At 36.9% G+C, this 17,052-nt stretch overlaps 1 long non-coding RNA gene across 1 annotated transcript in view; it reads left to right on the top strand.

Annotated features, from left to right (window-relative positions):
- Positions 1-17,052, top strand: part of LINC02227 (long intergenic non-protein coding RNA 2227) — an 89,091-nt gene that overhangs the window by 55,973 nt on the left and 16,066 nt on the right. Inside the window, exon 5 of the long non-coding RNA NR_109888.1 lies at positions 12,377-12,580. This is a non-coding gene — a long non-coding RNA (long intergenic non-protein coding RNA 2227). The remainder of the gene's footprint in view (positions 1-12,376; positions 12,581-17,052) is intronic.

Genomic DNA, 17,052 nt, shown 5'->3' with positions numbered 1-17,052 from the left:
GAAATGACTACGTTTTCTTACAGAATTCTAATTAATAATGTAAAAAGAATGAGAGAAATAGAAGATCACCGTTAGAACTTCACCATAATAATTGTTGCAGGCAAGACCCACCAATGGATAATTAAGTTGGTGAGTGAAAGTTTACACAGAAATAAAATATCTGCATGAACTCAGAGTATATTCCCAAAAATATTTAGTAATTTTAGAGGGAATAAATAGTAAATTTACAGTAGAGAGTCCAGGCAGACAGCCAGGTGATCAATGTTAGCTAAGTGATCAGGGCTAATATTGCTAGTAACATATATTGATGTTGCATGTCCCCTAGGGCACATCTTCTCTGTTGTAGCCTTCTCAACAATGCATAACCTCTATATAATCAAGGGAAAAACCTCAGACAAACCCAAATTGCAGAGCATTCTACAGAATAACCAACAAGTGCTTTTCAAAAGTGTTAAGGTCATGACAGACAAGGAAAGATGAAGGAGCTGTCACAGAATGGAAGTGAATAAGGAAACGTAAAACTAAAGGTAACATGGGATCCTGGAACAGAAAAAGAACATTATTGGAAAAATTAGTAAAATCCAGATACGTTCTATATACTTAGGTTAACAGTATTGAACGAAAAATAAGCTGTCAGCATAAGTGTATACTACATGAAGGCTATATTTACTATTTTGGTAACTCTTCTGTAACTCTAAAATTATTTCAAAATATAAATTACTTTTTCAAAAGTTAACAATGACTTATATAGTCACCCTAGTTAGCAGTTATATCTGGAAAGAACATCCTTATTCCCTGTAACTAATGTAACATCCTCCTAAACCAGAAGGTTGTCATTTTAAAAAATGACTCTTTAACCAATTATTTTCTGCTTATTTGCACTCACTGGTTCTCAGGATTTTATCATTGTTCATGAATCCATTGGCCTTTCCTAAGGATAAAAAAACAAGAGAGATGGGGCACGGTGGCTCACACCTATAATCCCAGCACTTTGTGAGGCCAAAGTGGGTGGATCGCTTGAGCCCAGGAGACTAGCCTGAGCAACATGGCAAAACCCAGTTTCTACAAAAAATGCAAAAATTAGCTGGGCATGGTCGTGCGCACCAGGGGTCACAGCTACTCATGAGGCTGAGGTGGGAGGATGGCTTGAGTCCCGGAGGCGGAAGTTGCAGTGAGCTTAGATCACACCACTGCACTCCAGCCTGGGTGACAGAGTAACACCCTGCATTAAAAAAAAAAGAGAGAGAGAGAAATCATTCAAATGGTAAAGAAAATGCAGAGTATTCTGCTGGCTGGAAAAATCTCAAGCTGGGCATGGTCCTATTTTTGTTTGTCATTCCTCATTTGCATATGTGTGTGGATACATATGTATGTATGTATATTCTTATGGCTATCTGGGCCTATTGAGACCCATGAATTGTTCTCCGATTAAATACTATTTCCTCAAAGAGGCATTTTGGGACGTTTTGATATCTGTGTTCAATGTACTGCTACACTTGGACCTTTTTCAAATTCTGTTTGTAACAGTTTCCTTGCGGCACAGACGAAGATTTGAGGGAATCGTCGAGATAACCTCTCATGGCTTCCTCAATGGGTTTCAAGGAGAACAGCCGCAACTGCAGCTTCCGATTGGAGAAGGCAGGTCAAGGCATGTTGAGCTTCACGGAATCAGGCAATTTGGAAGCTGTAGGGGTCCATATCCTATCACCTTTCTTCCTAAAGGACTTGCGCTATACTATAAATTGTTCTCCTTGAACGATATCCGAGTCAACATCCCATCAATTAAACTTGAGGAAAGAGGTTGTGTTGGGAGGAGAAAGGAAGAGATGCTTTTTGTCACCAGGCTGGCTGGTAAAATGAAACTTGGCATGTGACCAGGGAGGAGGCTCTCTCTGAGGCTGTTTCCTTGGCTACCGAAGGGGAGAGACACCTGTCCATTTCTATGTCTTAGACATGTTGTGAGGGTAAAATGGAATAACTAAAAGTAAAATGGCATGAAAAAATGTAGACCAGGGTTTCCATTGAAACGTCAGGATTTTCTCTTGCCCTTTCTCTTCATTGCCCTCAGGACAAAATGAATACTCTTTGAAAGTGGTCAACAAAGCCCAACCAGCCTCTCATCCTGGTCACTCTTCTCTTCATCCCTTATCAGCCACACTGGATGGTCCCCCAAGCACTTTCCCACTTCATTGCCTTTGTAAATACTCTCTGCGTTCCTGGAGCTGTGCTCCCTGCTCTCATCCAGGCTGGACTCCCCTTCAGCTGAGTGATTCCTACTTATCCTCCTGGTCTCAACTTTGATGATGCTTCTTCTACAAAGCCTTTCCTGAGCCTCACTTCTCTCAAATACCTAGAACTAAGTTTAATTGGTCGTTTAACTACATATATCCCCTGCCAATTATAAATTACTCAAATAGAAGAATCTGCCTTTTCACCCTCACAGATATCTCTGGCTGCTAACAGAGTCTAATACTCAATAAATGCTTGTTTACACCTACTATATACTCACACAAATTAAAAACAAAAATTAAATTTAAAAAAATAAATAAAATAAATGCTTATTGAATGAATAACTGACAAATGAATAAATGCATGCTTTCAATACAAGTTCCTTGATATAGGTCCTTTTTTTTTTTTTTCTGTGAGACGGAGGCTTGCTCTGTCGCCAAGCTGGAGTGCAGTGGTGCAATCCCGGCTCACTGCAACCTCCACCTCCTGGCTTCAAGTGATTCTTCAGCCTCAGCCTCCCTAGTGGCTGGGACTACAAGTGCACGCCACCACACCCAGCTAATTTCTGTATTTTTTAAGTAGAGATGGGGTTTCATTATGTTGGCCAGGATGCTCTCGAACTCTTGACCTCGTGATCCACCCGCCTCGGGCTCCCAAAGTGCTGGGATTACAGGCGTGAGCCACCGCGCCCAGCCTGATATAAGTCCTTCTTGGGGAACTCAAGTATAGAAACATTTAGTGAATATACAAGAGAAAACTGTTTAGTGGAGTTAGTCATTTTAATCAAGGAAGACTCTGAAGCTTAAATCTTCACTTCAATGTTATTATTATAACCACTATTTTATAATAGCAGTATATCATAGAACTCAGATTTATCTATTCTAACTATATGCTAAGCAATTTGCTAAATGCTTTGTACATATTCGTGTTTTCCATCTTTCCTCAAACTTTATGAAATATATACTAGTTTCTATCCTCATTTAAAAACAAGAAAACAAAACCAGAGAGGTTGAGTGAATTGTCCAATGTCACCCAACTATTAGAGAGTAGAGTCGTAATTTAAATCCAAGGCTTCCAGGGCCTAGTGTCTGAATTGTTAAAAATTATTGCTCTTCTGCTTCCCCTGCCAGATAGGCAAACACCAAAGTCTTTTGGGTCCCCAGAGTGCAGAAAAACTAGATTAAATACAATCCTGGATGAATTCTCGACTTGAGGGTCTGTGTCTTTCCCCAGCATCTTCTCATTCACGAATAAGATTCCCCTATCAAGTTGTTCTAATCACAGCTTGCTTCTCTCCTCCCAAAGCCAGGGCAACTATCTCTCCCCCGAATCCCTATCTGAACTGCTGAGTTTATGTTTTAATACAATTACGTAGCTTCCACTCCCCCACAGATCCTCTTTTTTCTTCATTTGCTTCCAATAAAGAGACATTATTTGCTTGGGAGCTTTCCAGGGTAACATGAATCCATCTTTTGAAAACTAGTCCTTGCATCTGGGAAATTGAATGATGTTTTGGTGTTTGCTTAGCAAAAGAGTCGGTCTATGGAAACAGCATTGTTATTTTATTATCTTTAATGCTTTTACGCCATATTAAACAGATTTCATTTCCAAAGAACTTTCTCACTGCCCATCCCTGCTTTTTAAACGGACAAGTCACTTTCTACTTTCAAACTGGTTGCCTTCAAAAGATGCCACTGAGCACTGATTTGGCCACTTAGCTGAATTAACCATGTGATCCATCTGTACCTTCCTTCCCTGCTCTCACAAAACATGTGTTGCCTTTAACATAATGAGAAGCCCTTTTCTGATCAGACCACTTCTTGTAAAATTAAATACACACACATCCCAGAACCCCAAATCCATCATATGAATAAAACGGCACACTCTCTCAATCCAGACAGCAGTTCTTTTCAAAATGAGATGTCTGACACTACCTAATCCATGAACCAAAGAGATTTTTGATCACCCTAGTTTTTCCCAGTATTGCTTTTTATTCTTTGCATCAATAAATGTTGTAGCTGGGGATGCTTACAGTGCCAGCATGTGATAGCTTCAGTAATCATCTCATCCGGAGACCAAGATACTGCTCTATTTCTTTACACCCCAGGTAAGATTTTGAACCTTGGGAAAGCTAAACACAGCTGGTGTTCTCTATCCCTGAATAAAGGAAATAAAAATGTATTGCAAAGATATGGCTTCTTCATTTTAAAGAAGAGAAAGTAAAAATAAGAATCTAGTTTTGAATTGAAAGATTCATATAGTAAGAGCCCAAACCAGACATTGAAACACATCGCAATGATTACACTGGTTATTAATAATTGAGTGAGGGACAGAGCAGAAAGTTCCCTGTGAATTTACTCACCTCAATTGAATTTTTAAAATCAAAAGCCGAATTTGTTTACAGAATGGGTCTTTTAGCATAAATATGTAATTAATAATAAAATGTATAATAAATGGCAATAAGAGTTTATGGAACTGAAAGTAAGCCCTTTGCCCATTCTAATAAGCATATTCTGGGTCATAAAGTGGATCTAAAATCTAGAACAAAAATAAACCTAAGGTCTGATGCTCACAAAGGATCCAGTTTTATTTCATGTTCTTTATAACTAGCTGGAGGACAGGATCTTTGTCTTATACAAACTGGCAGGCATGGGATCTTAATGTGGAAAAGCTCCCCACTCACATAGTGATAAGAAAAAACTCATGGTTAAAAGAAAGAGATTTGGTTTTGCTTTGTTTTCCATTTCCCCTGTTATGATCCATTTATACTGAACATTTCAATTCTGCAAGCAATTACTGAGCACCTAGTAGGAACAACTGACAGTGTTAGATGTGCACAGAATTATTGCAAACAAATTAAAGTAATAAAACTCTCCCCTTCTTCCTACCCTAACTGGAGATATATTTGTTATCAACAGCAAAAGAAGCAAACTATCAAAACTATATGTGAATATGTTCAGTGGAAGCCTCTCTTTCTCTTTTTTTCCTTTATGCCTGATCATCTTTAACACTACCATTTTAGGGTTTGATCCTGATTGAGGATCCTAAGGGATTCAGAGAAGTATAAGAAATAGTCCTATTACTGTACAGTCTCACTAATGAAAAAGGACAGATGCACAAAACCATGAGAAAACCAAGGCTTCAAGTTTAAGTTATATGTTCAATGTCAAGTATGCAAAAAGTTATTGTTAAAGGCCTTCTTTCTATGCTTTAACCCAAGGTGCAGTACAAGATAGCATATGCCATTTGATTAAGAAAATAGAATCTGAGTAAGCTTATTGAATAACTGGGTATGGAATAAACTGGAGAGGAACCTATGCCAGTCAAATGCAGTCAAGACATTGTTGCAGTTATTCCAGTAGAAGCTGATGAGGCCATAAACCTTTGATGCACATCTGAGTCACCAGGGGAGCTTCTGCAGCCTGCACATGCCCGCATCACCCACTGATTCTAACTCTGTAGATCGTGAGCGTAGCAAGGTCATGTGTCTTTTGTAAAAACTCTTTGGGAGAGTCCCTCCCTGGTTAAACACCACTGCCCGAAATTAGGGTGTCTGCTCTACCAAACAAAGCTTTTCTTCATATCCAGGCTCTCTCTTCTTGATGGGATCTCATTCTGTCACCCTGGCTGGAGTGTAGTGGCGTGATCTCAGCTCACTGTAACCTCTACCTCCTGAACTCAACCGATCCTCCCACCTCAGCCTGCCGAGTAGCTCAGACCATGGGTATGCACCACCACGCCTGGCTAATTTTTTGTATTTTTGGTAGAGACGGGGTTTTGCCATGTTGCCCAGGCTGCTCTAGAACTCCTGAGCTCAAGTGATCCACCTGCCTCGGCCTCTCAACCTCTCAAAGTGCTGGGATTACAGGCATGAGCCACCATGACCGGCCACATCCAGGCTGTCTATTATCAGCTATCTTACATTTGACAAGTCTACCACACTCAGAAAATGTGCAAATACATGATTTGTTGGTTTCTTTTCTTTTATTATAGGCATAAATAAATGTTAAGGATTCAACACTATAAATCTTGAGAAATTAAGTCAAATTTACCAAGACCCAGACTTCTCAAATAGTAATGCCAAATCCCAGATAGAAATGTATTTTTGGCCAGTTTGCCTCATAAACTATAATTATTGATTACTTATTATTTGTCAAACATCCTGTTAAACACTTCACGTATGTTATCTCATTCAGTCCTCACCACCACTAATATTATCCCCATTTTAAAGATGAAGAAACTGAAGCTTGCAAGGGTTTAGCCATTTGCCCAAGGTAATGTAGAGCTAATAACTTATTTAAAAACCTCTGTGTTAACTTTAAGAAACAGTTCTATGATACAAAAAAATGATTCTAATGTAAACAAAACAAAGTAAGCCATTGTTTTTGTTTTTCTCCTAAAAAATCATTTTTTTAAAAAAAAAGCAACAAGGAAATTGAAAAACTCACCACAAACTCTATTTTTAATGAAACTAAAAGAAAGCTATATCTACAGACACTAAAAAGTAGCTGCAAAAAATAGTTGAGATCAGAAACCCCATGGAAGGAAGTGAAGAGGCAACACATGGGGAACGTTGACAAGGCCCATCAGTGGAAATTCAAAGAAAGTGCCAACAAAAATATGGTATCCGATTGTAAGGGTCTCACTCAAAGAGCAAACAAGTGTTTGCAACAGTGCATGTGAGAATTTAGGCAAGCAGAGCTGGATCAGTTTGGGAGAAGAAAGAGCTGGGCAGATAGTCATAGAAATAGGCCATCTCTGCAGGAAACAGCTTGTCTTTATGGCAGAAGAAGGCTACACTGAACATCTGCCACACCCCAACAGTGTGCCTCGTGCAAATATCTGTCCAAAGAAAATCCAAATAATGTAATGATGAGTAATTTTTTTAAAAAAACAAAAATACTATGGGAAGGAATATGGAGAAGAGCAACAAAACTCACCAGTAGATAAAAAACACTCACTAGGAAAGTGTTACCATGGAGTAGACAGAAAATATGACCAGACATCATATTATGAATTTTAAACCATGAGGAATATAATTATGCCTCTGAAGGAATACTTGAAAGCAGAGATGCAGAGTCTCAGGAATTGAATGGTGAGATTGGAAATTAAAAGTGAACTGGCAGAGCTCAGTAAGAAATATAAAGTAAATAAGAAAAATTAAAACCATTCAATATTGAATGAGCAAATGGGAGAAAGGACACTGTAAGTCTTTCAGTTAAGATAAATAGTAGGTAGCAGTAAGAAAGACAATCAAAAAGGAAAATGAGTTTAAAAAAGGTTGATAATTAAGGATAGGTATAGAAGAAAAGATAAGATATAGCAATTGCATAATTGGAGTCCATGGAAAAGAAAATAAAACAATGATTCAGAACACATACTGAAAAATACAATTAGAAAACATGTAGTCTCTGGTTAGTGGTGCTTTCTATTTCTATCATTTCTTCTACATTTATCAATAGACTGCCATCATAAGAAAGATCTGTCTCTTTTCCCCATTTACTTATTTATTCCATTTTTTTTATTTATTCAATCATATATTTATGGAAGTATGGACTCACAAATAATTTATTTTATTCTACAGGTTGTAATGCAACCTGTCATTCCTAAGTTTTTTGTTCAAATTGTTTCAGCATTGGATATTGGAAGGATCTTCAAGGTGTTTCCAATGTCCTTTCAAACATGTCCTCATCCTTTCTTAAATACTTCCCTACTTTTGAAACCACAATATTTTCCAGGCTCATCTTATATTTTTCCTATCACATCCCTAGAATCCACTATCGTATTTCTTAAAGGAGCTCTGGTTCCTGCTGCTGGAGGATGATATATAGAAGCCATAAACTGAGTGCCAGATGTGCTCAGTGCTACTGGAGTATCTAGCCCCTCTCACTGGACATAGCCAGAAAAGATATGTATGTATGCTAACTTATGCATACACACACCTATATTTATTTCTGTATCTGTCTGTATATATTAACAACTATAAGTTCATTTTGATATTTCTAATTCTAATCTAACAAACACAAGGCTTTTTCCCTTTCCCTTTTCCTTCCTCCTTTCTTTATTATAACTTGTTCCCTGAAAGTGAAAAATGTGCTTTCATTATCTATATTTATTAGTCCAATTCTAGTATATACACAAAGTAGATTCAGAATTGCTTGCCATATCCCCATAAGAACCAAATTTAGAAGCTAGAGTACAAAATTTGTGTAAAATTAGTTATGTCTTTAGCCTTCTAGTATGCAATCAAAAGTTATGAATATTATGAATTTTCATATGAAATTCAAGCTATTTCCAAAGTTAATTTTTTTCTCAATCCCTTTTAGTGTGATTAAGCTATTCAATTGTAATACAGTGAGAGTTCATTTGTATTTTTATATTCTAGTTTGGATCCCACCTCCATCCTGATGGATTTTAACTATTTTTTTAATATGTGAAAAATTATCATGGTTCTAAGAGTTAAAGCTATATAAAAATGTATACTTGAAGAAGTATTGCTCCCCACTTATCCTTATGCCCCATTTTCATGCCCTCATTCTTTTCACCTTGTTACCATCCATCCACATTGGTAAGCAGTCTAATTAGTTTCTGGTTTATACTTTCTGTATTTATTTTGCCCAAATGAACAGATACATGTATATTTTTAATATTTCTTTCTTCCTTGAAGAGTACAAATATTCTTTTGACCTTTGAAAAGATTGTTATTTTAAAAATAAAAGATAAACTCCCTAACCTAATGAAGAAAAAGAGGACACAAATATTAAAAATAAAAATTATAAAAGGGAAATAACTTCAAAGTAAGAAATAATTTTGCATAAATCAATGTCAATAAATTTGAAAGCACTGATGAAGTGGATAATATTCCTTAACAACATATTTTATCAAAACAGACCTCGGAAAGTATAGAAAAACGTAAGCAGTATGATTTCCAAATAAGACATAGAGGAAGTTGTTTGGCTATAACCACTACCTCCATCCCACCCCAAACCACATGTCCAGATGATTTCCCAAACCACATGTCCAGATGATTTCATGGGGGAATTCTTTCAAATCTTAAAAAGCAAATAATTTCAATTCTACCTAAAATGAAACTAAAGCCTAACAAAAATTGAGCATGTGCACCTACAGACACAGACACACAAGCACATACACCCACACAAACAAGAAAATGATAGGCCAGTCTCACTCATGAGTATTGATGCCAGCATTTTAAATAAACATTAACATACATAATCTAACATCATATTTAAAAAAATGCAGCTGACCAAGTGGGGTTTATTCTAAGAATACAAGAGATTTTCAATATTACGATATCTATTAATCATATCATAATATGACCTATCACACTAGTAGAGATATTAGCATTAAAATATTATAATTATCCCCATAAGTGCTAAAAAGGCATTTGACAGAATTCAATCATTCTTCACAAAAACATTTAATAAAATAGGAATAAACTATATTTTATCTTGAGCCAATGGTCATTGGAAAAATACTAGACTCATTTTGCTCAACAAGTGTTCTATTGGCATTAGACTCATGTGTCACTCATCCACTAAATTCCAGGAGGAAATTTCCCCAGTTATTATGGAAACAAAATATACCTCATGCATTCCCAAATGCCCCCCAACACCATGGATTTAAAGTAAAAATCAAGACAAACATGCACTATCATCACACTATCTTTAACATATTATTAGAAATGCTGGGCAACATAATTAGAAAAGAGAAAGAAAATAAATGTATGAAAATTAGAACTAAGGTAAACCTATCACTTTTTGCAGATTACATTTACATACCTGGAAAACCTAAGAGAATTAACTAAAATGGCTACAAAAAAATAAAAATAAAATAGTTGAGTAAAGTAACAGGACTCAGTAACAGAAAGCAATAGCCTATATGTATAAACATATGAACAAATACAATGACCAATTAAAAGACATGATGGAAAAAAAGAATTTATTCACATAAGCACAACACAGATAAAATACTCGGATGAAATTAATTACAAATATTGGACACCAAACAAGAAAACTTTAAAACAGAACTAAAGGTACAAAATAATGCTAGAATAAATTAAAACTGTATTTATAATACTAGTGAATAGAAATACTCAACAACAAAAAGATTACTATTCTTCTTAAATTCATGTATAAATGTAATATGATCCCAATAAAAATACAAGCTTTTTGTGGGGATAGTTACAAACAGATATTCTCACTCTAATCATCCTATGAAAAAAAATAAAGAGAAATAATAGCTAGGAGAACTTTGTGTGGGTGGGAGGATCTCTTTAAAGAAAAATGAGAGCAGTGTACCCTTATTACATTAAAATATAAACACTTTATATTTAAAAAAAGAGTAGTACAGCCAGTAGAATAAACAGAAAGACCAATAAATTAGTATAAAAACTCCATAGAGGGTGCCCAAATACATATGAGAATTAGTGCATAATAAAGAAAGCAATTCAAATAAGTTGGAGAAATCTAGATTATTCTATAAATGGAGTTTAAATAACTCTGAGCATAAAATCTTGAAAAAAATAAAGCTGGAACCAAAGTTTACACCATACAGCAAGGGAAGTTCCAAATGGACTTAAAATTCATTTTTTAAAAAAACAGTAATTCATTTAAGTACTAGAAAAAACATGGAAAATTCATTTATAAACCTAGATGAAAGAAGGGCTTTCTAACTACTACTCAAATCCAGAAGTCATAAACGTAAAATTTCCTAGATACACTTTTAAAAAATTCCTTCTGTGTGGGAAAAAACCAAACTTTTACAAATATCAAATTGGGAATAAATATTGAAATTCAAACCACAGTCACAGGCTTATTGCCTTAATATATAAAGAGCTCCCAGAAATGGATATGATAAAGGCTGATAGCTCAATATAGAAATGGAAAAGTGATATGAACAGAGTTTACATAAAAGGAAATAAACATGGCTCTCAAGAACATAAAAAGATTTTTCAAAAAAGATGTTCAACCTGCAGCCAACAGACAATGGCAGATCCCCTCCTGATGTTTATACTCCTGTGAAGTTCCCACCCCTTGAGTGTGGGTGGAACCTATGACTTGCTTTAACTAACAGAATATGGCACAGATGATGGCATGTCACTTCCATCCACCATTATATTATATGAGACTCCATCTAATTTGTAGACTCTGCAGATACTTTCTCTCTCTTTTTTTTTTTAACTTTTATTTTAGGTTCAGGGGTACATGTGCAGGTTTGTTATTTAGTAAATTGCATGTCACAGGAGTTTGATGTACACATTATTTTGCCACCCAAGTAATAAGTATAGGACCCTCAACCTCCATCCTCAAGTAGACCTCACCCCTTCATCCTCAAGTAGGCCCCAGCGTCCTCTATTCCCTTCTTTGTGTCCACATGTACTTAATGTTTAGGCTCTCACAAGTGAGAACATGTCGTATTTGGCTTTCTATTCCTGTGTTAGTTCACTTAAGATAATTCCTGTGTTAGTTCACTTAAGATAATGGCCTTCAGCTGCATCCATGTTGCTACAAAGGACATGATCTTGTTTTTTTAATGGCTGTGTAGTATTCCATGGTGTGTATGTGCCACATTTTCTTTGTTCAGTCTACCACTGATGAGCATTTAGGTTGATTACATGTCTTTGGTATTGTGAATAGTGCTGCAATGAACATGAGAATACCTGTGTCTTTGTGGTAAAACACTTTACATTCTTTTGGGTATATACCCAATAAAGGGATTGCTGCTTTGAATGGTAATTCTGCTCTGAATTCTTTGAGAAATTGTCAAACTGCTTTCCACAAGGGCTGAACTAATTTACATTCCCACCAGCAGTGTATAAGCATTCCCTTTTCTCCACAACTGCACCAGCATCTGTTATCTTTTTGATATTTTAATAATAGCACTAGTGTGAGATGGTGTCTCACTGTAGTTTTGGTTTGTATTTCTCTAATGATTAGTGATGTTGAGCATTTTTTAAATATGTTTGTTGGCTGCATGTATGTCTTCTTTTGAAAGGTGTCTGATCATGTCCTTTGCCCACTTTTTAATGGAGTTGTTTGTTTTTTGCTTGATTTAAGTTTCCTATAGATTCTGGATATTAGACCTCTGTCAGATGTGTAGTTTCCAAATATTTTCTCTCATTATATAGGTTTCTGCAGATACTTTTTACATTGCAGAATAAATAAGACAGCCTGTTGGAACACCCATATGGTATGGAACTGAGGGCAGCCTCAAAAGTGGCCACCAGCTGATAGCAAAGAGCCAAAAGGAAGCCAGAGCCTCAGTCCTACAACTGCAAAAAATATATTTCTGCCAACAACCTGAGTGATGTTGGAAATGGACTCTTCCCCAGGTGAGTCTCTAGATAACAATTCAGTCCTCACTGACACATTGATTGAAGCCTTACAGAGAACCCAGTTAAGCTATGCCTGGAATCTGGAGCCATAGAAACTGAGAGATAATAAGTGTCTGTTGTTTTAAATCTCTAAGTTTGTGGTAATTTTGATGCAGCAACATAAAATGGAATACAAGCCTAACATCATGAGATAACCACAAATTAAAAGTAAAATGAGATAGTATCCATTACCATAACACAACCACAAAAATCCAAACGTTTGTTAATATACACTTTTGCTGAGCCTTTGAGAAAACATACCCTCTCATATATTGTTAGTAAGAGGGCCAACTAGTACAATTCCATGTGAAGGGTAGTTTTGCAATGTCCATAAAAATTATAACTACTTTTTGTCCAAGTGATTGCAGTTCTTGGAATTTATCCTACCAGTACACTGGCTCACAAATACAGCCCTACATTTGGGGATTACTTATAATAGCAAAAAATGGAATGTACTGGGGATTATTATAGCAAAAAATGGAATCATTCTAATTGTGTATAATAAGAGACTGATTAAATAGATTATGGTACACTCATATAATAGAACACTATTCAGCTATAAAAAATAAGATTAAATAAATAAATAAACAAGGAGGAGACATCTGGTCTCCAGAACAGGAAAAAAGCTGAACAAACTGCAAATAAACAATTTTTCTGAGATACATCAGAGATCTGAGGTCACAGGGAAAATTGTCAGACTGTCACCCAAAACAGGAGAGATAGGAGAATACAGAGAATCAGACTTAGGATAGCAGCTATAGCTGGAACCCAGTAGGAGCATTCAAAAAGTAATTGACTAATTGCTGGAGCCTGAGCTTGGACTAGCTTGAGATATTAAAAATCTCTGGTGCTCAGCCTTAGGGGGACCCCACACTTTCATGAGTTTTACCTCCAAAAGCCCCAACAGGTTACCAGGGTGAAGATGGGGTAGGGGATATACCCCTGATCTGTCAGTTTAGGGAGGGGAAAAGTAACCATTTCGAAATACACCCAGAGCATTGTATTCTGAGTAGTGAAGATCTATCCTCAATGGAAACTATTTTACGGAAGCCCAACTAACTTCAGAGGTGAGAAACACCTTGTAGCCTCTGCTAGCCTTCCTGACTCACCTAACCAGAAAAAAAAGCCAAGATGCATTTTTGAATGTTACAGAAGAAGGGCATAGGTCCACTAAAAGACTAAAACCTAATCATAGGTATATAGAATGCTTCCCCACATCCCAAACCTTATCATCACATCAGCAGGGTTCATGTATAATAATGAGAGAGTATAGCTGAAAGAACTGCAAAGCTCAGACTCTGTTTCAGAAGGAGTATCTCAGCAAACTCACAGATATGCAGGGAGACAAAAACAAGGACACTACAGGAAATTTTAGCCATTGCAAGCGGTAAGCCCAGTCTAACTTTTAGCCAGATCAACATAAAATCTCACACTAAAGTGTTGTTTATCTCAGTTCCTTTTACCTAATATACTATGTCTAATTTTCAAAAAAAATTTAAAAGGCATGCTAAAATGCAAAAAATACAGCTTGAAGAAACAAACCCAGTATCAGAACCAGACTCAGATACAGCAGAGACTTGGGAAATATCAGACTGGGAACTTACAATAACTGATTGGTAAGCTAAGGACTCTCACAGAAAAAGTAGATGACATGCAAGAAGAGATGGGTAATGAAAGCAAAAAGATGGAAACTTAGCCAGGTGCAGTGGCTCATGCTTGTAATCCCAGCAACTTGGGAGGCTGAGATGGGTGGATCACTTGCGGTCAGGAGTTTGAGACCAGCCTGGCCAACATGGTGAAACCCTACCTCTACTAAAAATACAAAAATTAGCTGGGCATGGTGGCCCACGCCTGTAATCCCAGCTGCTCGGAGGCTGAGGCAAAAGAACCACTTGAACCCGGGAGATGGAGGTTGCAGTGAGCTGAGATTGCACCACTGCTCTCCAGCCTGGGAGAGTGAGATTTCATCTCAAAAAAAAAAAAGATGGAAACTTTAAAAGGGAATTTTTTTAAGACAATGATCGAAACCACTGTAACAGAAATGAATAATGCCTTTGATGGGCTTATGTGTAGACTGGATATAGTTGAGGAAACAATCAGTAAACTTGAAGATACGCCAATAGAAACTTCTCAAACTGAAAAACTAAGAGAAAAAAATTTAAAAAGAAGCAAAATATCCAAGAGCTGTGTAACAGTTACAAAAGATTACATATCTGCAATGAGAATACCAGAAGGAAAATAACAAGAAAAGATCAGAAGAAATAATAGGTAATAAAAAAGCAATAATAAGTAATAGTGAAGTAATAATGGAGGAGAATTTTCCAAAAATAATGACACACATCATAAAGATATTATACTCAAATTGTAGAAAGTCAACATAAAGAGAAAATCTTGAAAGATACACACACACACACACACACACACACACACAGAATATGTGCCCATGGTTTAGTGTCCATATAAAAGTGAAATTAAATTAATGATCTATGCATATTGCAAACTCTAGGGAAAACAATGAAAGAATTTTTAAAACAAGTATAAAGGATATACTAAGATAGGAGAGAAAATGAAATTTAAAATGTTCAATTAAAGCCAGTGAAGACAGAAGAAAAAGTGGAAGACCAAAAAGAAATAAATACCAAGGGTAATGACTACAAAATAGTTATAAATGGGACCAATATCAATACAACTATATCAGTAAGTATTTTTAATGTTAATGGTCTAAATATACCAATTAAAAGACAGAGACTGTCAAAATGGATTTTAAAAAAAACAAGACTCAATTATATGTTGTCTACAAGAAACTTACTTTAAACATAAAGACATAGAAAGATGAAAAGTAAAGGAATGGAGAAAGACATACCATGCAAACACTGATCAAAATAAAGCAGGAGGTGCTATATTAATTTCAGATAAAACAGACTTCAGAGAAAAGGAAATTATCAGAGATAAAGAGGGACATTACATAATGGTAAAAGGGTCAATTCTCTAAAAAGAAAGTAATTTCTTAACATGTATGTGCCTAACAACAAAACATCAAAAAAAAATGTGCAGCAAAAAGTAATAGAACTGCAAGGAAAAACAGATGAGTCCACTATTATAGTTGGAAACTTCAAAACTCCTCTCAGTAATTGACAGATCCAGCAGGGAGAAAATCTGTAAGGGTACAGTCAAACTGAACAGCACCATCAATCAACTGGATCTAATTGACATTTATAGAATACTTCATCCAAGAACAGCAGAATACACACTCTTCTCAAGCTCACATGGAACATTCACCAAAATAGGCTACATTATGGGCCATAAAATACATATCAACACATTTAAAAGAATAAAAATCATGCAAAATATGTTCTCAGACCACAGTGGAATTAAACTAGAAATTAATAACAGAAAGATAGTTGGAAAATCCCAAAATATTTAGATATTAAACACTCTTCGAAACAACCCATGAGTCAAAATATCAAGAGAAATTTTTAAATATACAAAATTAAATGAAAATACAACTTATCAAAACTTTGGGATGAAGAGAGGACCCAAGATGGCTGACTAGGTGCAGCCAGGAAGAGCTTCTCCCACTGAAAGACCACACCATCAAGAAGAATGGCACACAATGAGCAGATCTTCAGAAGGAAGGCATTGAGAATGGACAAAAGGAGGACAAATACTCTGGGCTGAAGGAGGAGGAAGCTGGGAACCCTGCATAAGATTGCCAAGCACCAGGACTCATTCCTGGCCCTGTGCAGCTCCTGGGGAAAGGATGAGTTAAACAGGCATGAGTGGCCCACTTTCACCACAAACCTCCAGAATCCTAACTGCAGGAGACCTCATGATCCCCATGGACATTTGAGCTGGCAGGAAGTGTTGCTTAGAGAGTTGGCAGGATCAGGACTCCAACCTTGAAGGAGCCCAGAGGGTATGACATGGGAATGGCAGAGTGGAACCCAGCAAGGAATGCTCATCCCCCAAGGCTTGCCACACTCCTGTAGGTGGCTTTGGCCTTTGTTGACTGTCAGAAGTGGACAGGACAGGGATATCTTGCCATGGGATGGGACCAATATGATCTGAGCAAACAACCCCCACCACCACCCCCAGGGTTCCTGCCTGGCTGCACCCACTTGCAGCCTCAGATGCCCAACCAGGGCACTTCCTAGTGGCAACCACCATAGCTCTTTCACTGGCATAGTCCACTTAACCATCAGAGAGTTTTTGCAGATGGGTCCCCCACAATGCGCATTCGTGTGTAGTCTCTCCACATTGCTTTTGCCAGCATGTGCATGTTTGCAGACCTCATTGTCATCACCTCACCTCCACTAGTGCATATGCACACAGATCCTACCACACCAACATCACAGGTGCACACACACAAGCATGGACCCTGCTGCCATCATCCTAATGAAGTGCTTTCCCTGGCAGCACAAGCCCCCCCA

This window comes from Homo sapiens, chromosome 5 (genome assembly GCF_000001405.40).
Source record: "Homo sapiens chromosome 5, GRCh38.p14 Primary Assembly".
In the NCBI taxonomy this organism is placed as follows: Eukaryota; Metazoa; Chordata; class Mammalia; order Primates; family Hominidae; genus Homo; species Homo sapiens.
The sequence above is the reverse complement of the archived record's forward strand: the minus strand, read 5'-3'. Positions and strand labels throughout refer to the sequence as shown.